The 23550-nt window shown below is 35.4% G+C and overlaps 1 long non-coding RNA gene across 1 annotated transcript in view, besides 2 other annotated features; it reads left to right on the top strand.

Annotated features, from left to right (window-relative positions):
• The window catches only part of LINC02027 (long intergenic non-protein coding RNA 2027), a 101780-nt gene that overhangs the window by 41157 nt on the left and 37073 nt on the right, over positions 1-23550 (top strand). The gene's annotated exons all lie outside the window — the stretch shown is intronic.
• Positions 21284-22017: an enhancer, noted in NCBI's record as "NANOG-H3K27ac-H3K4me1 hESC enhancer chr3:81105459-81106192 (GRCh37/hg19 assembly coordinates)". NCBI's record gives its function as "activates a minimal SCP1, AML or CMV promoter by ChIP-STARR-seq in naive H9 embryonic stem cells {active_cell/tissue: H9 hESC(naive)}" and the evidence as "EXISTENCE:reporter gene assay evidence [ECO:0000049][PMID:30033119]".
• Positions 22018-22750: an enhancer, noted in NCBI's record as "NANOG-H3K27ac-H3K4me1 hESC enhancer chr3:81106193-81106925 (GRCh37/hg19 assembly coordinates)". NCBI's record gives its function as "activates a minimal SCP1, AML or CMV promoter by ChIP-STARR-seq in naive H9 embryonic stem cells {active_cell/tissue: H9 hESC(naive)}" and the evidence as "EXISTENCE:reporter gene assay evidence [ECO:0000049][PMID:30033119]".

Raw genomic sequence — 23550 nt, forward strand, 5'->3', positions numbered from 1 at the left:
GAGTCAGAGGGTAGAGAGAAACGGATTGTTGTAGTTATGCCTCCTGATTTGCTCCCACCTATCTGCATCCACCTTTTGGGTAGTATCCTCCCCACTGACTCTGGGCTTTGACCTGTGCCATTTGATCTATAAGAAAATAGTAAATTCATAACAAGATAAGGCTTGAAAAAGCCATACTCATTGGAACTTGCTTTCTTGCTACTCCAAAACCCTGATAACATGGATAATCCCAAGGTAGTCTGCTAAACTCGCTACCCAACAGCCGAGTACCACTGTGGACTAACTACCCAGCAGCCTAGTACCACTGCTGCCCTAGCGCAAAGCTAGCTAAATGCCAGACACTAGATTAAGATCACCTGGAGATGGTCAACACCTCCTCACCCCTCATCCATCCCTTCCCCTTCACCCCTGCTGATCTGCCAACTGATTACAGACACAGGAGCAAGCAATTGGGGTGATTTGCTATGTAGTCATAGCTAACTGACTTGGTAAGGAAAACTCTCAACATACACTTTGGGGATATAACAAATAAGATTTAAATAAATTAAATATGAGGTTAGAGATTATAATAATATAATTATATATAATTACATATAATACCATATGATACGCTATATCATTATAATTAAGAAATAATATCTATAATGTAGAATATGTAATAATGCAATATATTAAAAGTTTTGAAGGTAATCCATGCTAATATTAACAAATAGAAATTCTACAAAGTATTTACTTGTGAGCAGTGGGTATGAAAAGGGACTACAATGTAAGACATTTATTCTTTATTTTATTCACTTTTGTGCAATTGAACATTTGCTTTCTTGAACATGAACCATATTTATAATAGATTTACAGGCAAAAAGAGAATACAATTATCTTCATTTATTTAAATGCAAGGAATACATTAAACATTTGGTTGGAGGATAAGTTAAATAATTTTTAGATGGGTAAGTTAAATAATTTTACTATGTAATTTAAAATATTATTTTATTTTGGAATGAACAGATATATATCTATGGGATAGAACATAAAATCTGCATTAGATTTTACATTTTTATTGATATAAACAAACTGCAAATATTTAAAATGTATTTCATGTGTTAAGACACATGGATATATCCGTGAAACTCTGATCAAAATCACGAGAATCAACATTTCAATTAACCTAAAAAGTTTCTTTTTGTCCGCTTGCAATCAATCTCATTCTCTCCACACCACCTTAGGCAATAACTGACCTGCTTTCTGTAACTATAGTTCTCATTTATACTATTTCATATAAATGGAATCATAGAGATTGTACACATTTTCATTCATTGTTATTATTTTGAAATTTAGCCATGTTGTATAAATCAATATCTTTATTAAGTAGTATTTCATTATATGTGTACCTAAGAATTTTCTTATTCATTCATCTATTTACGGACTCTTGAGGCTTTCCAGCATCTGGTCATTGCTACTGAGGCTATTATAAACATTTGTTTACAAGTCTTTATGTGAACATATTATTTGATATCGATAAAGAAGTGCTCATTAATGATCAAAGAACAAAGATTATAAACTGATAGAATGGATCTTAGTTTTTTAGGGACACAGAAAGTAAGCGGTTTTTGTTTGAGCATATGAAATCAGGAGAGGTGGGCTGAGATTAGCTATAATACGAATTTTTGCTGCAATGAAATTAGGTCTTAAACAACTCAGTATCTTAGTGGAATATAACTAGTTGTATTTTACTCATAAAAAATTGATGCAACTAGCAGATTCATGGCAGTTGTTCAATTGCTATCTCCTGTACTTACTACACTTATCTCCAGATTGCAGGTCACGTTCAGTTTGGCTTTATATTCATACTTAAAGCAGCAGCTTTCTAGAGCAACTTTTCTCGTAATGGAGGCCAAAATTCCAAGAGGTCAAGCGTATCCATGCAAGCACATGATTTGCAGGTATTGGGTTGCACTAGGTGTATATTATATTCATTCACTGTCCATTGTCCTAAGGAACACAAGGAGCCAAATCCAACTTGCGTGGGTCACGTGGCAAGAGTGCCATGGAATAATGCTGTTAGCTGAAGTGGTAAAGATAATCTATTACAGGAGTTTGTATAGATTGGGGTCATGGTTGCAGAAGGTCAGGATTGCTATGACAACTTTTAAAATAAGACAACAATGAAATTTACTGCATCAATTTAATCTTCCTTTCATGAAAGTTTTCTTTGTAGTGTGCAATGCTGTTTGACAGCATTATACCCACAGTGGAAGTTTTTTTCCAAAATTGAAACCAATCCTCTCAAATCTTTCCCTTGCTTAATAAACTAAGTTTATATAATATTCTAAATCCTTTATCATTTCAACAATGTTCATAGTATCTTCACCAGGAGTAGATCCTGTCTCAAAAAAACCATGTTCTTTCCTCCTCCATAAGTAGCTAGTCCTCATTCATCAAAGTTTTATCATGAGGTTATAGCAATTCAGTCACATCTTTAGGCTTCATTTCTAATTACAGTTCTCTTGCTATTTCCACTACATCTGCAGTTACTTCCCCCAATAAAGTCTTGAACCCCCCAAAGTCATCCATGAGAGTTGAAATAAACTTCTTCCAAACTCCTGTTGTTGATGTTTTGTTTTTTTCTCCCATGAATCACAAATGTTCTTAATGACATCTGGGATGGTAAATCCTTTCCAGAAGGTTTTTAATTTATTTTGCACAGATACATCAGAGGATTTCTATCTATGGCAGCTATGACCTTATGAAATGTACTTCTTAATAAGACTTGAAAATAAAAATGACTCCTTGATCCACGGGCCACAGAATGGATGTTGTGATAGCAAGCATAAATATAACATTAATCTCTTTGCACGTCTTCATCAGAGCTCTTGGGTGAACAGATGCATTGTCAATGTAGTATTTTGAAAGGAATTTTTTTTCCTGAGCATTAAGTCTCAAAATATGGCTAAAATATTCAGTAAACCATGGTGTAAAAGTATGTGCTGACATCTAGGTTTTGTTTTTTTTCATTGATAGAGCACAAGCAGAATGGATTTATGGCATAATTGTCAGGGGCCCCAAGATTTTCAGATTGGTAATGAGCATTGGCTTTAACTTAAAGTCACCAGCTATATTAGCCCCTGACAAGAGAATCATACAGATTATCTTTTGAAGCTGTGAAGCCAGGCACTGACTTCTCCTCTCCAGCTATAAAAGTCCTAGATGGCATCTTTTCCCCACATGATCATGTATAATATTTATTAGTTATTTAGTGTAGTCACGTTCAATTATCTTAGCTCTACATTTTAGCTAACCTGCTACAGCTTCTACAGAATCACTTGCTGCTTTACTTTGCACCTTAATGTTAAGAAGATAACTTAGTTCCTTAAATCTCATGAACCAACATCTGTTAGTTTCCAACCTTTATTCTTCAGCTTCTTTACCTCTCAGTGTTCATAGAATTGAAGAGAGTTAGGGCTTTGCTCTGGGTTAGGCTTGGCTTAAGGGAATGTTGTGACTGGTTTGATCTTCCATCCAGATTACTGAAAACTTATCCATATCAGCAATAAGTCTGATTAGCATTCTTATTATTTGTGTTCATAGGAGTAACACTTTTAAATATTTTTAAGAATTTTTTCTTTGCATTTACAACTTGATTAACTGCTTGGCACAAGGGGCCTAGCTTTTAGCTTGTCTTGGCTTTCAACATCTCAACATGCCATCCTCACTAAGCTTAATCTTTTCTAGTTTTTAATTTAAGGTGAGAGCCGTGCTAAACGTCCTTTCATTTGACTACTTAGAGGCCATTGTCGGCTTATTAACTGGCCTAATTTCAATATTCTTATGTCTCAGAGAATAGGTAGGCCTGAAGAGAAAATAGGAGAGGAGGAAAAGCCAGTTGGTGAAACAGTCAGAACACATACAACATTTATTGACAAAGATTGCAGTCTAAGATGGGTGTGGTTTGTGGTGTCCAAACCAATTACAATATTAACAACAGAGATCACTGAACATGGATTACCATAACAGATATGATAATAATGAAAAAGTTTGATATCTTATAATAATTATCAAAATAAGACAAAATGATAAGAAGTGAGAACAAGCTGTTAGAAAAATGGCATCCAGAGACTTGCTCAATGCAGAGTTGCAACACACCTTCAATTTGTATAAAACGCTATATCTGTGAAGCCCAATAAAGCAAATCACAAGAAAATGAGGTATACTTGTGTAGGGAAAAAGCCTGTTGCATGGCAAGAGTGACACCATTTTGAAGCAAAACCACCATGTTGACCCCTGCATACCAAGGTGTTCTGCAGCTAGGTCTTAAAGAATTGGAAACACAACTAACCCCTCAAGAAGGTGCTTATCTAACCTCCCAGTGGTCACGAGTTTCAGAAAGAAAGTCTGAGACATGACCAGCTGCACATATTTTATTCTAAAACTGTGTTGTATACAGGATACTTTCTGGAGAACAAGTGTGAGGAGCTAGTGTCTTGCAGCTGCCACAGCTATTGCTTCTGTTTATAAAGTCCCTATTAAATATTTTCTTTCTAAAAAACCAGATTTTTCAGCCTCTTCTGTGGGGCTCTCAGCTCTCCTGGCTTTTGGTGTTAGGTTTGTGTGTACCTGCTCAATGTGAAACAACTTGCCATTGTTTTTCCTTTTTCTTCTTCTGTTGAATTTTCTGTACGCTTTTGCTCCTTCCAGAAGATCAGTGAAGTGGCTGTGTGTGTATATCTAGTAAACACATACTGTTTTCACTTGCTTCCTCAAGCTCTAGCTCTCGGTAGATCACTAGAGATAGTGACATAGTAGAAAGACACTCCAGCTGGAGTCACCTCGCAATGACTGGATTGGGTTCCCCACTCCCCGTGGGCAGGTAAGGCCTCAGAGAGGAATGAGGAGAGTATTAAAGACCAATGAGACTATAAAGACCTGCAAAACAAGAAATTGGTCCAAATCCTTCATTTTCTTCCTATTCAGCACAATTCTCTATTTTCAACTTTGCTGAAGGCCTCATCAGTTTGAGTAATGAGCCTAAAAACTAACACAAGATTAATTACTGTAACCCAAGTGTGTTTTAGGCTAGAAGCAGATTTAGATGGATTAAGCACCAATTTTATCACAGGTGATGTAGAGGAGGACAAAATGAGTAGAAAGCAATGTACATAAAGGAAAACTAACATGGGTAACATTTCTTGGTAATTTTTAAAAGTTTTTAATTATTAACACTTAAAATATATATCATTATTTAACAATAAAAAGACTAGGCTTGAAAAAGTCACGTGACCACAAAGTTTATTAAATGGAAGTTTCAGGACTCAAATCCAATTTTACCACTTCACCACCAGAGAATGAAGTGTCTTGCGATTCACCCACTTACCTATGTTGATCAGATTCTAAATGAGCAATAAGAAAATATTTGAAATGAATTAGAGAGAAACTGGGTTTTTTTGTATACAAGCTTTGCATAAGAAGATTCAATAAATATAAATATTTTATAGAATTCACAGAGCAAGTGTTTATGAAATTTTAAAAATTATGTAAATTGCTGAAAATCATTTGGAAGATACCATATTATTCTTAATACAATTATATGGACAAATGTTCTTTTATAAATCATGTTGCATTCCTATGATTACAGTTGTATGTTCTGATTTGTATAGTTACTTATCCTTCTCTGTATCTGTTTAGCTCTACGCATCTTTCCCTCCTTTCCCCTACCCAAACTGAAAGAAAATTTTTCAAAGTTCACAGTTTTGTCTCATTGATTGTTGCACACCACAGCATGATGCCTAATATGAACTGTTAAATTCTGAATTAATGCTCTAACAAGTTAAATAAACCAGAGCCATGAAATACAGTACTTGGGAAGCTCTCAGGTTAGAATGTTTCATTTGCTCTACAGGTTGCTTTTCTCAACACTAGGCAAAGGGTTTTGTTCAAAGTTAAAGTAGCCATAATATAATTGCTTGTTAGAATAAATACATTTACCACTTACTCTTTATGCCAAGAACTTAGAAACTCAATTGTCAAAATAATATTGCTAGTAAAATGGCCAGTAATGACATTTTTGTCATGTTCAAGAACAGTTTTTATCTGTTGAGTTTATCTATTGCAAATACATATAATATAATTTTTCATGGTATAATTCAAAACCTTTCCTTATTTTTTTAAAAAGAAACAGTTATATAGTGCTTACTATGTGCAGGCAATATTCTGAATATACTTATGAATGTTAAATTATTTTCATACCTGTGTAGGATAAAGGTGAAGAAGCAGAAGTATGCAAGGAGAGCCTAGAGACTGCAAAGTAAATATGACATCTGTGAAAAGAGAGAGGAAAGGAAGAATAGTTGGACAGAAAGAGTTGCAGATTGAAGCACAGTTCTAAGAAAGATTCAGTGAGGCAAATAGGGAGTCCATGAGCCAAAGTTGTCAGTAAGTGAAGTCCTGAATATTGCAGGGATGGCAGGGCACTAGACCTTCCATCATGGTAAGTCATTAGCTGGAAGCATTCCAGTACAAGCATAGTTCATTACAAATGCAGTGATACGTTCAGAAGGTGACGGCTAGAGATATCATCATGTCTGCTGTTCCTTACAGCAAGTTTTAATAAAAGAAATCTGAGGCCTGGAATTCCATGTCTACCATTCCTCACAGCAAACCTGTAAGTTATTTTTTTACTATAATTCCATTTTACATATGAGAAAATGGAGAATTAGAGATTAAATAAATTGCCCAAGACCATATCTTATTGTTCAATCAAGCTAAATAAATTTTCTTTGTTTGTGGAGTGATTGTTTTTTATGTTTTTTGACAAAATCTCACAAATCTACATGTGATTTGTTAATTAAGTAACTAATGATAAAATTATCAGGTAATTCTACCATTCTAGGTGTAAATGTTTAGAGAATATTCAGCTTCCATGCGATATGTTTTTAGACTCCCTCTCAGTAGAAATTGCACTAAGCAACAAGGAATTGGGGAAGTACAAAGTTAGTGATATCATTAGAAGCTGTATGAAATAGCAAATAAAAATCCTAAAGAAACTCAGAGAAATTAAAATTTACTTCCTTTTTTATTGATTTTTCATCTTCCCTTTTATATCAAGGTAATATTGGCAATTCATTAGGTAAAGGAAGAGCTCATATGCTTGAGAACTTCCTTTATATTAAGGGTGAAAGTTTCCCATTGTTCCTAAAATAAATATATTGAGTTTTCTCTCCAGGTCAATATTCTGTGATGTATATGTTCATTTTTATTGTTTTCAAATTATACTTCCTCAAACTGTGTGACTACTCTTCACCACCGGAAAACACAGTGACCAAGATGCTATGCACACGGCAAACTATCAGACAGGGCTCTCATCTCCCATCAAACATTTGTCTTAATTCTCTAGGTCTTTGGTTTCTCATCTATACATAAGGAAAGCTAACCTCTACCCAAAATGAAAAACAAAATCATCATTAAAGTCACCCTAGAAGCTATTTTTAAAAAATCAGGTGTCTCAGCCCAAATGTAAAGAACCAGAATATATAGGCTAGTATGAGCCTGGGGAATTTTCTAAAACTGTACAATGATGAACCAGGTTTAGGTATCACTGAACTATATAACCTGTAGTTATTACATTCTTTTTAAAAATCTCTCTACTTACCTAATGTGAATATTTTAAAATTCCTTTGCATGCAAAATCAATTGAATTTGTACATCCAATTAAATTTTTTATGAGTTTTTTGCCTTATACTATGTGAGTAACAAGAGCACTAAAATATACTATAACTATCATATTTGATTTTTAGCCAAATATTATATAAAATATAATATTCTAAGATATCATGTAAATTGGAAACATAAACCATCTTTTATAAAGGCTAATAAAGCTTTTGTATAAAAATTTAAAATATGTTATCTTTAATGATATGTTAATCTATTACCAGTAGAAATACTTAACATTTATTAAAGATAAAATTTCACACAATGACTTGAGTGCAATAAGTTTTCAAGTGGGAATTCTTTGTGCATTTGGAAATACAGCCCTCTACCACTATACACTTTAAAATTTCAATTGAATGATGTTTTTAATTTGTTTCTCTATTCTCATATATCATCAGTAGATTACCACTTCACGTTACAATTACTCACAGTGCTTATCTGTAAATGAAATTTGAAAACATGATGGGTACATAATGCACTGCCAGCATAAGCAGAAACACTGCTCCAATCACACCTTATGTCAACATGTTCATCCTTAATAATAGAAAAATGCACCTTCAAGGAAATAATTTGATTAAACCTTATCAGAACAACTAACATTTCCTATTTTAATGTAACATTTCAAACACTCCAAATCTTACAAGCTGTTCTACATGGCAGTGAAGCACATCACGGCAACATTTTTCAACACACATAAACAAGACACCGGCTTCTGTGCTGTCTTTGTTTCTGTCTCCATGAAACGTTGCAGGTGTGATGAAATGAACATTCCTGAAGTGTTTTGTTGTTGTTTTGAAACTCATACAATCACAAAAGTCTCTCAAGCAGTTGCATTAGATAGGTTAATTCAAGTATATTGAATAACTTGCATCTGCTTCCTGCTACTGCCATCACCAGCTCCCCAAATATGTATCCCCGGACGTTATTTTTATTCAAAGCTTATCACTCTCTTAGAGAACGGTCATCAGAAACACCTCTATGTGCTAATTATTTGATCGTATGCTCTATTTAATTCTGAAATCAGGGAGAAGTCTGGAATTAATTAAAGACTTTTAAAAAGACATGAAGTAACAAAAGTTATGTCATCATTCCAGGGATCATGAAGAAAAATATTTTTAGAAACACAATTGAATTATGCATTTATATAATTAAAAGAGTGACTCATGACATTTGGAAAAAATTAAGCAGTAGATATATGTATACAAACACAAAAATTGTTAAGTTATCTTTACCACAGTCCAGCTCCATCTCTTGGGAGCGATCAATATTAACTGCTGAGTGTGCACTCTGCTACACTTTTCCTATGTCCTTTATGTATACATGCAGAGATTTTGAGGCTAATATGTTTATTTTCTCATAAATTACACATTGCCTCATAACCTGTTTTTTTCAGTTAGCTGGACATTTCAAAGGTAAAGAATCTTTTCAAAATGTATTTATAATTTTATTATAAACATATACTATATAATTTTAAATTTCAAATATATTACTTGCCTTATAATTCAAAGAAGCAGTATTCTGCCTAAGCCACACTTTGACTCACATTTCCCATAGGCAACCTGACTTTTAGCTCTTCCAGCATTCATTTATTCACCAAGTACTTATGGAATGCCAGGTGCTATTCTTAGTACATGGATATGAAACACGGCAAAGAATAAAACAGCTAGCTTTTCTGCTTTCAGAAACAAAGCATTCAAGGGAGGGAACTCTACCAAAAATGAAACAAAAAAGCTTCAACTAATTAATAAATTATATGTGAATGGTGATTAGGTGATGGAAAATGACAAGGAAGTATTTAATTTATTTTAGATATTTCTTCAAATATTTACTTCTGCATTAAAATGTTTTTACTACTATTTCTTGGTTTTCCAATACTGAACACTGTTTATTGTCTTCCGATTTTGCAAGATGACAAATGATCTAATTTACATTCCCTTCCCCTTTCTTACACACACACACACACACACACACACGTATGTGTGTGTGTGTGTATATATATATATATATATACACACACACACATGCACACATACAATTTTAGGTTAAAACAATATCTATGGTTCATCCTTATGATTACATAATATTATTCACAGAAAATTTTAAATACTTTTTATGATTGTATTTCCTTTATTGAGCAACCTCTCTACTTTTGATATTTAAAATTACCTTATTTTTGCCGGGTGTGGTGGCTCCCGCCTGTAATCCTAGCACTTTGGAAGGCCAAGGCGGGGAGATTACTTGAGCTCAAGAGTTCGAGACTAGCCTGGGCAACACGGTGAAATTCCGTCTCTACTAAAAATACAAAAAATTAGCCGGGCATGCAGTGTGTGCCTGTAATCCCAGCTACTCAGGATGTCGAGGCAGGAGAATTGCTTGAACCCTGGAGGCGGAGGTTGCAGTGAGCCGAGATCCTGCCACTGCACTCCAGCCTGGGTGACAGAGCGAGACTCGGTCTCCAATAAATAAATAAATAAAATAATAAAATTACCTTATTTTTTCCCTCCCTCCCTCCCTCCCTCCCTTTCTTCCTTCCTTCCTTCTTTCCTTCCTTCATTCTTTCCTTCCTTCCTTCTTTCCTTCCTTCCTTCTTTCCTTCCTTCCTCCTCCTCTTCCTCTCTTCTTCATTTAATCTTCCTAGGAATGTTTGCATGGGATATGTGTTACATAGGGCGTCATCAGGAAAACTGAAAGCAATCTAGATTCCAAGCATGCTAAAGCTGGAAGAGCAAAGTTCAAGGTAAAATCAGTTTGTGGCTTCCAGGAGAACTGAAGTGTAAGGAGTTTGTTGCTTAAATAACCAAAATGAGTGATTTGGAGCAATTAGCACAGAATCCACTGCAAACTTGGTTCTCTCTGTCCTCGCATCTGCCCACTGCTCCCATAATAGTACATCAATGGCAGCATCTAACTGAAATTTTACTGGCAAGAGGGTCTAGAAAATCTCATTCACAGTTTTATCCCACAAGATGTATAGGAGAATGTGAAGCGAAAGGGATAGTGTTAAATAACAGACAATGCAAAAAATAAATATAAAAATCTGAGACTTTATGTAACTGTTAATTTATTTACCCAACAAATGATAAAAATTAACAGGGTAAGATTTATGTTGGAAAGATTTCTCTTTCTCACTTTTGCTGTTTTTTAGGATATTCTGTCAATCTCCTAGTTGTTGAAATTTAATAAGGGTAAACTTTGAGGTTGATGTTTTTATTTGTTTTGTTTATTTTCATTTACTGAGTTAGAAACAAATGAGTTTTGCAATCTGGAAATTCATGCTTTTCAGTTTTAATACATTTTCTTATGCAGTAGTCCCCTTTTGATGGTTTCAGTTTCCTGAGGTCAACTGAAGTCTGAAAATACTAACTGAAAAATTCCAAAAATAAATGATTTGTAAGTTTCAAATTTCCAATTCAGGATGTCAGTCATCCCTGGGCCAGTGTAGCCACACTGTATACATACCAAACTGTTAGTCACTTGCTTAGCTCTCTAGATTATCAGATCAACCATCACAGTATCTCAATGTTTATGTTCAAGAAACCTTTATTTTACTTAATCGTGACCCCAAAACATGAGAGTAATGATGCTGACCATTCACATATGCCAAAGAGAAGGCTTAAAGTGCTTTCTTTAAGTGAAAAGATAAAAGTTCTTGACTAAAGGAAAAAAGATCATAGATTGTTAAGCGATGAAAAATAATCACTTAGTGAATATCTCTTAGATAATTAGTACCTGGCTTATATTCAAATAATCATAGGTTGTTAAGTGAAAAGAACAAATTTGTGAAATTATGAAGAAGGAAAAAAGAATTCATCCTAGCGTTACTGTCACACCTCAAACTGCAAAAGTTATGGCCACAGTGCATGGTCAAGTGTTTAGTTATGATGAAAAAGACATTAAATTTTTAGGTGAAAGACATAAATAGAAATGAGTTCTGTTTGACAGCAATTGTGTTCTGTAATGTTCATGGATTTAGGCAACTATAGGGAATCTTAGAATGTATTTCTCGTGGTTAAGGGAGGAACTATTATATATTTTTCTTTGATAATCTCCCAACAGCATTTTTCTGTAGCATTCTCAGAAGCTCCTATTAATTGGATATTTGATTTATTGTAGTAGGGTCTATTTTTTCTCTTGTTTTCAATTTGTCTACATTTTAGTTCTATATTCTAAACTATTACTTTCGTTTTTTATCTTCTAGCCTTTCATCATTTTTAGTCAGCTTTTTAATTTACAAAATTGTGCATTTTTTAAAAAAGTTTTTGTTTTACAGCATTTTTTATAAATGCAATATCTTCTCTTAGATTTTGCAGACATTGAATCTAATAGTTCTGTTACAATTCTGCACTAATCCTGAATTTTCTTAAATTGTCTCTTTTGTTATCTATCATTTATGTAGAACAATTTATTGGAATGTCTGTTGAATTGACCACCATTTTTTCTTTAGTATTGAGGCACTAATAAGCTATGTAAAGCTCTGAGAACTGTATGGGAAGTACAGATAGATCGGCCTCATCTTGGTGTGATGGTCCAGGCACCAACCTATTTCACTGGACTATGGCAAATTGAAATCCGTCTATTAGGCAAGCACTTTCCCAAAGAAGGATGCCCAACCTCCCACATAGGGGCTACTTGCCTATTCTATTTGAATTAGTTGCCTATTAGGAGTAATAGTCTCTAATACATATCTTGTAAACAATTTCTCAGTCAATTTTTTCCTTAGACTGTGCTTATGGTGAAAATATAAAAGGGTGCAGAATAAGATATCTGAAAATCTAGGTTCAAGTGTCTATATCTACATTTATTTGATATTTGGCTTTGGACAAGCCACAGACATTCCTTAAGTTAATTTTGTCTTCTTGAAAATGCTGTTAACCTCAGCAAGGAACAAATGAGATAATATGAATAAAATAGTTTCATGGATTATAAAATAGTCCATTATATGAGGTATTATTGTTATGACAGCAATCACTGAAGAGCACCTACTATAATAGAAAATTTTATTTATGCAAAATATGTCATAAAGGAAAAAAATTATATAATGTGTTGAGCATGCTATCAAGTATTGTATATTGCTCAAGGGGCATTTCTATAAGAACTTGGCATTGCTATTCTCTCAGTGTCAAATACATCATTGTGGCTGCATTCTATAACACCATAATTTGGGGCATCTTTCACAAATTTCTCATATAATGAATATACACAATTTTCCATATTGAAGCAAAAATAGAGAGTGCTGGTTTCTTATGACTGAAAAAGATTATAGTTTATTGTAGAAATAAATTCTTATCAAGGGCTCTGTGCCCTTTGTTTCAACAAGCTTTAAAAGCCTAGTTCAAATAGGTTCCTTAATGGCTGATGAAATATACAAAACATACTGAAATATTGGGAAAAATCTGGGGCGGTTCAGCATGTGCAAATACAGATATCTCAGTCTGTGCTTCCTGTTGTGCAGATGGAATTCTCCCCACTGGGCCTGGAATGAGTCCATAATATCCTGCCATATACACACATCCAGGGCTCAAGCCCACGGCAATCTTTTCATTATCAAACCTACTGTCAAAACATTGGCATCATATCAAGAACATGGAGACAACAAAGCTAAATTATCAGTTACTATGACAGAGAATGCTAGATTGGCTACATAGATATTACCTTTGCGTTAGAGATAATTATTCCAAAAAAGAGTGAATGAATCATTTTCATATGATGAGGCAAAATTTCAAATCTTATCTTTCAGGGATTTCTGCATTTAAACATCATATATATGTGGGGTTTTGTGGTGTGTATATGTGTGTGTGTCATATCTCTCTATATATGCACATATAACATGTACATGTACATATTACATATTACATATATTTATATTAAATTATCATTATACTTAGTGAAAAAAATCTATCCTGATCCCCACTTCTACTTAACATCCACATCTACCTAAACATATAAAAAGAAAATTATTTTCCTGTCTTTATTTTTTTGATTTTTGTCTATATTTACATGTGACAAAGGATGTAAAATCTAGTCCCCCTTATTACATATAAAGTAGCATACAACCACACACTTCTGTACCTCACTTTCTTCATTTAATAGTAGTTAGTGTGCTAATACTAATATATACATTTCTCATTATTTTGTACAGAAACATATTTTCCACTTTATGAGAATCCATAATTATTTAACCAGTGCCTTCTTAGTAGCATATTACAAATAATTTAATATTTAAAGACTACTTTAATGGAAACCTACACAAGTCATTTCCCAGGAGAGCAAGCACAAGTAGACACATGGATTAAAAGGTTATACACATTTATAATTGTAAAAGATATTGTCGTGTTTTCTACATAGAGATTGTAGAAATTTAATATGCAAATGGAAGTATATAAAACTGCCTGTTTCCTCACAGCCTCACCAATGTATTATGTAATCTCACTATGGGCTTTGAGTCAATATATTATGTATTTGGGAAGAGAGTGGCTTGGTGTAATTTCAAATGTAATTTTATCTTATTAGAAGTGAAGTTGAGCATTTCTTCATCTGTTTAAAAAACAGCTATACTTATTCTGTGACTGAATATTAGATAGTTTTGCTCATTTGTAATAAGAGTTTTGAACCTTTTCTCATTGACTTCTAGAAACTCTTCATGTAATTAGGATATTATCCCTTTAATAAAGTATGAGATACAAACACCTTTTTATTTCAAGTTTCATGTTTGCTCATCTGAATAGGTGCATGGTGTGAAGTAATATGTAGAAGTTTTTGACTTTTATGAAGTCATGATTATCAATATTTTCATATATATCTTCAGAATTTTAATAATATTAGAAAAGTCTTTCTATTTCAATACTCTGAAGACATTCTCCCTTCGTTTTTATTTTTATTTTTATTTTTTTCTTCATTTAAAAAGTGCCTTTTTGACTTATAAATCTAATTTTATTTTTTTCAAGATTATTATTCAGTTTTCCCTCAATTTTTGGCATTCTCTTTCATTCATTTGGCTTTATAATATTAATTTCTACTATTTTTTATTAAAATGTGTATATATTTAAGGTGTACAGAATTGGTGACATGTTTTATTATATATAGTGATATTATTACTATAGCCAAGCTAATTAACATATCCATCATCTTACATATTGACTCTTGTGCTTGTGGGGAAAACACTTAAGATCTACTCTTTTAGTAAATTTCAAGTACATAATATAACATTATTAACTATAGTCATTATGCTGTACATTAAATCTCTAGAACTTACTCATTCTACCTAACTGAAACTTTTTACACTTTGACTAACATCTCTCCATCCCCACACCATTGTTAACTACCATTCTACTTTATGCTTCTATAAATTTGGCTTTTTTAGATTCCAGATATAAGTGAGATTAGACAGTATTTTTCTTTCTCTGTCTGGCTTATTTCACTTGGCATCATGTCCTCCAGTTTCACTCATGTTTCAGATGGCAGAGTTACCTTCTTTATAAAGGCTGAGTAATATTTCATTATTTCTTTATGCATCAATTTACCAGGTACTTAGATTGTTGCCATACATTGGCTATTGTAAATATGTAGCCATGAACATGGGAGTGCATCTATCTCCTTGGCACACTGATTTCAAATTCTCTGCATATAAAGCCAGAAGTGAGATTCCCGGATAGTAGGCTAGTTCTATTTTTAACAGTGAGGGAACTCCACACTGTCTTCCATAACGGCTATATTAATTGGCATTCCCCAAATCGGTATACTAGAGTTTCCTTTTCTCCACATTCTTACCAAAACTCATTATCTTTTGCATTTTTATAATGGCCATCCTAACAGGTGTAAAGTGATACCTCATTGTAGTTTTTATTTAATGAAAACTACTGACAATTAGTAATGTTGACCATTTTTCATATACCTCTTGGCCATTTGTATTTCTTCTTTGAGAAAATGTCTATTCATGTCTATTTTAAACCCAGGTTATTTGTTTTGTTTTTGCCTCTGAGAGTGTACGTGTTACTTATATATTTTTAATATTAACCTCTTATGAGATATCTGGCTTGCAAATATTTTCTGTCAATCTGTAGGTTGCCATTTCATCATGTTTTTTACTTTTTCTGTGCAGAAGCCTTTTAGTTTGGTATACTCCCAGTTAATTGATTTTTGCATTTTTTGCCTGTACTTTTGCAGTCATAGCCAAAAGGCAATTGCCAAAACCAATGTCAAAACTTTTTCCTATATTTCCTTCTAGGACTTTTAAGGCTTACATTTAAGTCTATAATTCATTTTGATTTTATTTTTGAGTATGATATATGATGAAGGTCTAGTTTTATTTTTTTGCATGTCAATACTCAGTTCTTCTAATGCCATTTATTGAAGAGACTATTATTTCCCTATTATATATTCTTTGTGCTCTTGGCAAAGACTAGTTGATTAATTGATAAGCATGGTTTATGTCTGGGCTGTCTATTCTCTTCTGTTGCTCTATGTGAGTGTATGGCAGTACTAAACTGTTTTGATTACTATGTATTTTTGATTAGCTTTGTAATACAATTTAGGAAATATGATGCCTTCTACCATGTTCTTGCTCAGAATTGCTTTGGTTAGTTAGAGTCTTTTTGTTCAATAAATATTTTAGAATTTTTATTTTTATTTTTATTTTTTTTTTATTTTTATTTTTTTTTTATTTTATTTTTTTTTTTATTATTATTATACTTTAAGTTTTAGGGTACATGTGCACATTGTGCAGGTTAGTTACATATGTATACATGTGCCATGCTGGTGCGCTGCACCCACTAACGTGTCATCTAGCATTAGGTATATCTCCCAATGCTATCCCTCCCCCATCCCCCGACCCCACCACAGTCCCCAGAGTGTGATATTCCCCTTCCTGTGTCCACGTGATCTCATTGTTCAATTCCCACCTATGAGTGAGAATATGCGGTGTTTGGTTTTTTGTTCTTGCGATAGTTTACTGAGAATGATGGTTTCCAATTTCATCCATGTCCCTACAAAGGACATGAACTCATCATTTTTTATGGCTGCATAGTATTCCATGGTGTATATGTGCCACATTTTCTTAATCCAGTCTATCATTGTTGGACATTTGGGTTGGTTCCAAGTCTTTGCTATTGTGAATAATGCCGCAATAAACATACGTGTGCATGTGTCTTTATAGCAGCATGATTTATAGTCATTTGGGTATATACCCAGTAATGGGATGGCTGGGTCAAATGGTATTTCTAGTTCTAGATCCCTGAGGAATCGCCACACTGACTTCCACAATGGTTGAACTAGTTTACACTCCCACCAACAGTGTAAAAGTGTTCCTATTTCTCCACATCCTCTCCAGCACCTGTTGTTTCCTGACTTTTTAATGATTGCCATTCTAACTGGTGTGAGATGATATCTCATAGTGGTTTTGATTTGCATTTCTCTGATGGCCAGTGATGGTGAGCATTTTTTCATGTGTTTTTTGGCTGCATAAATGTCTTCTTTTGAGAAGTGTCTGTTCATGTCCTTCGCCCACTTTTTGATGGAGTTGTTTGTTTTTTTCTTGTAAATTTGTTTGAGTTCATTGTAGATTCTGGATATTAGCCCTTTGTCAGATGAGTAGGTTGCGAAAATTTTCTCCCATGTTGTAGGTTGCCTGTTCACTCTGATGGTAGTTTCTTTTGCTGTGCAGAAGCTCTTTAGTTTAATTAGATCCCATTTGTCAATTTTGGCTTTTGTTGCCATTGCTTTTGGTGTTTTGGACATGAAGTCCTTGCCCACGCCTATGTCCTGAATGGTAATGCCTAGGTTTTCTTCTAGGGTTTTTATGGTTTTAGGTCTAACATTTAAATCTTTAATCCATCTTGAATTGATTTTTGTATAAGGTGTAAGGAAGGGATCCAGTTTCAGCTTTCTACATATGGCTAGCCAGTTTTCCCAGCACCATTTATTAAATAGGGAATCCTTTCCCCATTGCTTGTTTTTCTCAGGTTTGTCAAAGATCAGATAGTTATAGATATGCGGCATTATTTCTGAGGGCTCTGTTCTGTTCCATTGATCTATATCTCTGTTTTGGTACCAGTACCATGCTGTTTTGGTTACTGTAGACTTGTAGTATAGTTTGAAGTCAGGTAGTGTGATGCCTCCAGCTTTGTTCTTTTGGCTTAGGATTGACTTGGCGATGCGGGCTCTTTTTTGGTTCCATATGAACTTTAAAGTAGTTTTTTCCAATTCTGTGAAGAAAGTCATTGGTAGCTTGATGGGGATGGCATTGAATCTGTAAATTACCTTGGGCAGTATGGCCATTTTCACGATATTGATTCTTCCTACCCATGAGCATGGAATGTTCTTCCATTTGTTTGTGCCCTCTTGTATTTCCTTGAGCAGTGGTTTGTAGTTCTCCTTGAAGAGGTCCTTCACATCCCTTGTAAGTTGGATTCCTAGGTATTTTATTCTCTTTGAAGCAATTGTGAATGGGAGTTCACTCATGATTTGGCTCTCTGTTTGTCTGTTGTTGGTGTATAAGAATGCTTGTGATTTTTGTACATTGATTTTGTATCCTGAGACTTTGCTGAAGTTGCTTATCAGCTTAAGGAGATTTTGGGCTGAGACGATGGGGTTTTCTAGATAAACAATCATGTCGTCTGCAAACAGGGACAATTTGACTTCCTCTTTTCCTAATTGAATACCCTTTATTTCCTTCTCCTGCCTGATTGCCCTGGCCAGAACTTCCAATACTATGTTGAATAGGAGCGGTGAGAGAGGGCATCCCTGTCTTGTGCCAGTTTTCAAAGGGAATGCTTCCAGTTTTTGCCCATTCAGTATGATATTGGCTGTGCGTTTGTCATAGATAGCTCTTATTATTTTGAAATACGTCCTATCAATACCTAATTTATTGAGAGTTTTTAGCATGAAGAGTTGTTGAATTTTGTCAAAGGCTTTTTCTGCATCTATTGAGATAATCATGTGGTTTTTGTCTTTGGCTCTGTTTATATGCTGGATTACATTTATTGATTTGCGTATATTGAACCAGCCTTGCATCCCAGGGATGAAGCCCACTTGATCATGGTGGATAAGCTTTTTGATGTGCTGCTGGATTCGGTTTGCCAGTATTTTATTGAGGATTTTTGCATCAATGTTCATCAAGGATATTGGTCTAAAATTCTCTTTTTTGGTTGTGTCTCTGCCCGGCTTTGGTATCAGAATGATGCTGGCCTCATAAAATGAGTTAGGGAGGATTCCCTCTTTTTCTATTGATTGGAATAGTTTCAGAAGGAATGGTACCAGTTCCTCCTTGTACCTCTGGTAGAATTCGGCTGTGAATCCATCTGGTCCTGGACTCTTTTTGGTTGGTAAACTATTGATTATTGCCACAATTTCAGATCCTGTTATTGGTCTATTCAGAGATTCAACTTCTTCCTGGTTTAGTCTTGGGAGATTGTATGTGTCGAGGAATGTATCCATTTCTTCTAGATTTTCTAGTTTATTTGTGTAGAGGTGTTTGTAGTATTCTCTGATGGTAGTTTGTATTTCTGTGGGATCGGTGGTGATATCCCCTTTATCATTTTTTATTGTGTCTATTTGATTCTTCTCTCTTTTTTTCTTTATTAGTCTTGCTAGCGGTCTATCAATTTTGTTGATCCTTTCAAAAAACCAGCTCCTGGATTCATTGATTTTTTGAAGGGTTTTTTGTGTCTCTATTTCCTTCAGTTCTGCTCTGATTTTAGTTATTTCTTGCCTTCTGCTAGCTTTTGAATGTGTTTGCTCTTGCTTTTCTAGTTCTTTTAATTGTGATGTTAGGGTGTCAATTTTGGATCTTTCCTGCTTTCTCTTGTAGGCATTTAGTGCTATAAATTTCCCTCTACACACTGCTTTGAATGCGTCCCAGAGATTCTGGTATGTTGTGTCTTTGTTCTCGTTGGTTTCAAAGAACATCTTTATTTCTGCCTTCATTTCGTTATGTACCCAGTAGTCATTCAGGAGCAGGTTGTTCAGTTTCCATGTAGTTGAGCGGCTTTGAGTGAGATTCTTAATCCTGAGTTCTAGTTTGATTGCACTGTGGTCTGAGAGATAGTTTGTTATAATTTCTGTTCTTTTACATTTGCTGAGGAGAGCTTTACTTCCAACTATGTGGTCAATTTTGGAATAGGTGTGGTGTGGTGTTGAAAAAAATGTATATTCTGTTGATTTGGGGTGGAGAGTTCTGTAGATGTCTATTAGGTCCGCTTGGTGCAGAGCTGAGTTCAATTCCTGGGTATCCTTGTTGACTTTCTGTCTCGTTGATCTGTCTAATGTTGACAGTGGGGTGTTAAAGTCTCCCATTATTAATGTGTGGGAGTCTAAGTCTCTTTGTAGGTCACTCAGGACTTGCTTTATGAATCTGGGTGCTCCTGTATTCGGTGCATAAATATTTAGGATAGTTAGCTCCTCTTGTTGAATTGATCCCTTTACCATTATGTAATGGCCTTCTTTGTCTCTTTTGATCTTTGTTGGTTTAAAGTCTGTTTTATCAGAGACTAGGATTGCAACCCCTGCCTTTTTTTGTTTTCCATTGGCTTGGTAGATCTTCCTCCATCCTTTTATTTTGAGCCTATGTGTGTCTCTGCACGTGAGATGGGTTTCCTGAATACAGCACACTGATGGGTCTTGACTCTTTATCCAACTTGCCAGTCTGTGTCTTTTAATTGCAGAATTTAGTCCATTTATATTTAAAGTTAATATTGTTATGTGTGAATTTGATCCTGTCATTATGATGTTAGCTGGTGATTTTGCTCGTTAGTTGATGCAGTTTCTTCCTAGTCTCGATGGTCTTTACATTTTGGCATGATTTTGCAGCGGCTGGTACCGGTTGTTCCTTTCCATGTTTAGCGCTTCCTTCAGGAGCTCTTTTAGGGCAGGCCTGGTGGTGACAAAATCTCTCAGCATTTGCTTGTCTATAAAGTATTTTATTTCTCCTTCACTTATGAAGCTTAGTTTGGCTGGATATGAAATTCTGGGTTGAAAATTCTTTTCTTTAAGAATGTTGAATATTGGCCCCCACTCTCTTCTGGCTTGTAGGGTTTCTGCCGAGAGATCCGCTGTTAGTCTGATGGGCTTTCCTTTGAGGGTAACCCGACCTTTCTCTCTGGCTGCCCTTAACATTTTTTCCTTCATTTCAACTTTGGTGAATCTGACAATTATGTGTCTTGGAGTTGCTCTTCTCGAGGAGTATCTTTGTGGCGTTCTCTGTATTTCCTGAATCTGAACGTTGGCCTGCCTTGCTAGATTGGGGAAGTTCTCCTGGATAATATCCTGCAGAGTGTTTTCCAACTTGGTTCCATTCTCCACATCACTTTCAGGTACACCAATCAGACGTAGATTTGGTCTTTTCACATAGTCCCATATTTCTTGGAGGCTTTGCTCATTTCTTTTTATTCTTTTTTCTCTAAACTTCCCTTCTCGCTTCATTTCATTCATTTCATCTTCCATCGCTGATACCCTTTCTTCCAGTTGATCGCATCGGCTCCTGAGGCTTCTGCATTCTTCACGTAGTTCTCGAGCCTTGGTTTTCAGCTCCATCAGCTCCTTTAAGCACTTCTCTGTATTGGTTATTCTAGTTATACATTCTTCTAAATTTTTTTCAAAGTTTTCAACTTCTTTGCCTTTGGTTTGAATGTCCTCCCGTAGCTCAGAGTAATTTGATCGTCTGAAGCCTTCTTCTCTCAGCTCGTCAAAATCATTCTCCATCCAGCTTTGTTCCGTTGCTGGTGAGGAACTGCGTTCCTTTGGAGGAGGAGAGGCGCTCTGCGTTTTAGAGTTTCCAGTTTTTCTGTTCTGTTTTTTCCCCATCTTTGTGGTTTTATCTACTTTTGGTCTTTGATGATGGTGATGTACAGATGGGTTTTCGGTGTTGATGTCCTTTCTGGTTGTTAGTTTTCCTTCTAACAGACAGGACCCTCAGCTGCAGGTCTGTTGGAATACCCTGCCGTGTGAGGTGTCAGTGTGCCCCTGCTGGGGGGTGCCTCCCAGTTAGGCTGCTCGGGGGTCAGGGGTCAGGGACCCACTTGAGGAGGCAGTCTGCCGGTTCTCAGATCTCCAGCTGCGTGCTGGGAGAACCACTGCTCTCTTCAAAGCTGTCAGACAGGGACACTTAAGTCTGCAGAGGTTACTGCTGTCTTTTTGTTTGTCTGTGCCCTGCCCCTAGAGGTGGAGCCTACAGAGGCAGGCAGGCCTCCTTGAGCTGTGGTGGGCTCCACCCAGTTCGAGCTTCCCGGCTGCTTTGTTTACCTAAGCAAGCCTGGGCAATGGCGGGCGCCCCTCCCCCAGCCTCGTTGCCGCCTTGCAGTTTAATCTCAGACTGCTGTGCTAGCAATCAGCGAGATTCCGTGGGCGTAGGACCCTCTCAGCCAGGTGTGGGATATAGTCTCGTGGTGCGCCGTTTTTTAAGCCGGTCTGAAAAGCGCAATATTTGGGTGGGAGTGACCCGATTTTCCAGGTGCGTTCGTCACCCCTTTCTTTGACTCGGAAAGGGAACTCCCTGACCCCTTGCGCTTCCCAGGTGAGGCAATGCCTCGCCCTGCTTCGGCTCGCGCACGGTGCGCGCACACACTGGCCTGCGCCCACTGTCTGGCACTCCCTAGTGAGATGAACCCGGTACCTCAGATGGAAATGCAGAAATCACCCGTCTTCTGCGTCGCTCACGCTGGGAGCTGTAGACCGGAGCTGTTCCTATTCGGCCATCTTCGAATTTTTATTTTTATTTCTGTGAAAGAAGCTTAGAATTTTGATAGGATTGCATTGAATCTACATATTGTTTTGGAAGTATGAACATTTAAAAAATAATAATTTTTCCAATCCATGAACATGGGGTATCTATCCACTCATTTGTGTCTTTTTCAATTTCTTTCATCGATACTATAGTTTCATGTCATATATCAATATGTATAGTTTTCAGAATACAAATCTTTCACTATATTACTTAAATTTATTCCTAATTTTTGTTGCTATTTAAAATGGGATTTTTCCTTGATTTTTTGGTACAGTTTGTCTTCATTTCTTCCCTTTCAGAGTCTTCCTGATTAGTCCTTATTGGTTCACATAAATCTAAAATTAACAGGTTTAGCTCCAAACATTACAAAAACCAAAGAAAATTAAAAACAAGGAAACAAAACAAATATTCTCTCTGTTATTACTAATGAAACCATGTTGAATTTATAAACTCATGTCGGAGTTAATTCAAATTTTAAGCCTAGCATTTTAAATTGAATTATTTCAAAAAGATACTTTTGTCTTGTGTTATAGAAGAGGAATAAAAAAAGAATAAAAATGATTTTGAAATGGGATACATTGTTATTTAAATATTATTTTATAGTTCTGTCCAATTATATCTTAAGCATCTTTGAGGTTGATAACAACATATTACAATCTTACTTTTTCCTTCATAAAGAATAACAATTTTTAATACACAAAACAAAGCCTTAGAAAATATTTATTGGAATAAGTCTTAAATATGATTACAATAATTGTGTTTAAGGATATATTAGGCAACTCCTCCCACTTTATATAAAATGCTTACAGTTAGCCACAGCACACAGTTTATAGATATAATTTGTATAGTATTATATATAGTTTATTTTATTTCGCTATTATATGTATATATGTATATATAATGTTTATCCAATGTTAGATCTAATTTGTGTGTATGTGTGTGACAGCGTCTTGCTCTGTCACCCAGGCTGGAGTGCAGTGGTGCTATCTCAGCTCATTGCAACTACCTCCCAGTTCAAGTGATTATTGTGCCTCAGCCTCCTGCGTAGCTGGGCATGCACAACCACACGAGCTAATTTTGTTGCTGTTGTTGTACTTTTAGTAGAGAAGGGTTTTGCCATGCTGCCCAGGCCTGTC

This window comes from Homo sapiens, chromosome 3 (assembly GCF_000001405.40).
Source record: "Homo sapiens chromosome 3, GRCh38.p14 Primary Assembly".
Classification (NCBI taxonomy): domain Eukaryota; kingdom Metazoa; phylum Chordata; class Mammalia; order Primates; family Hominidae; genus Homo; species Homo sapiens.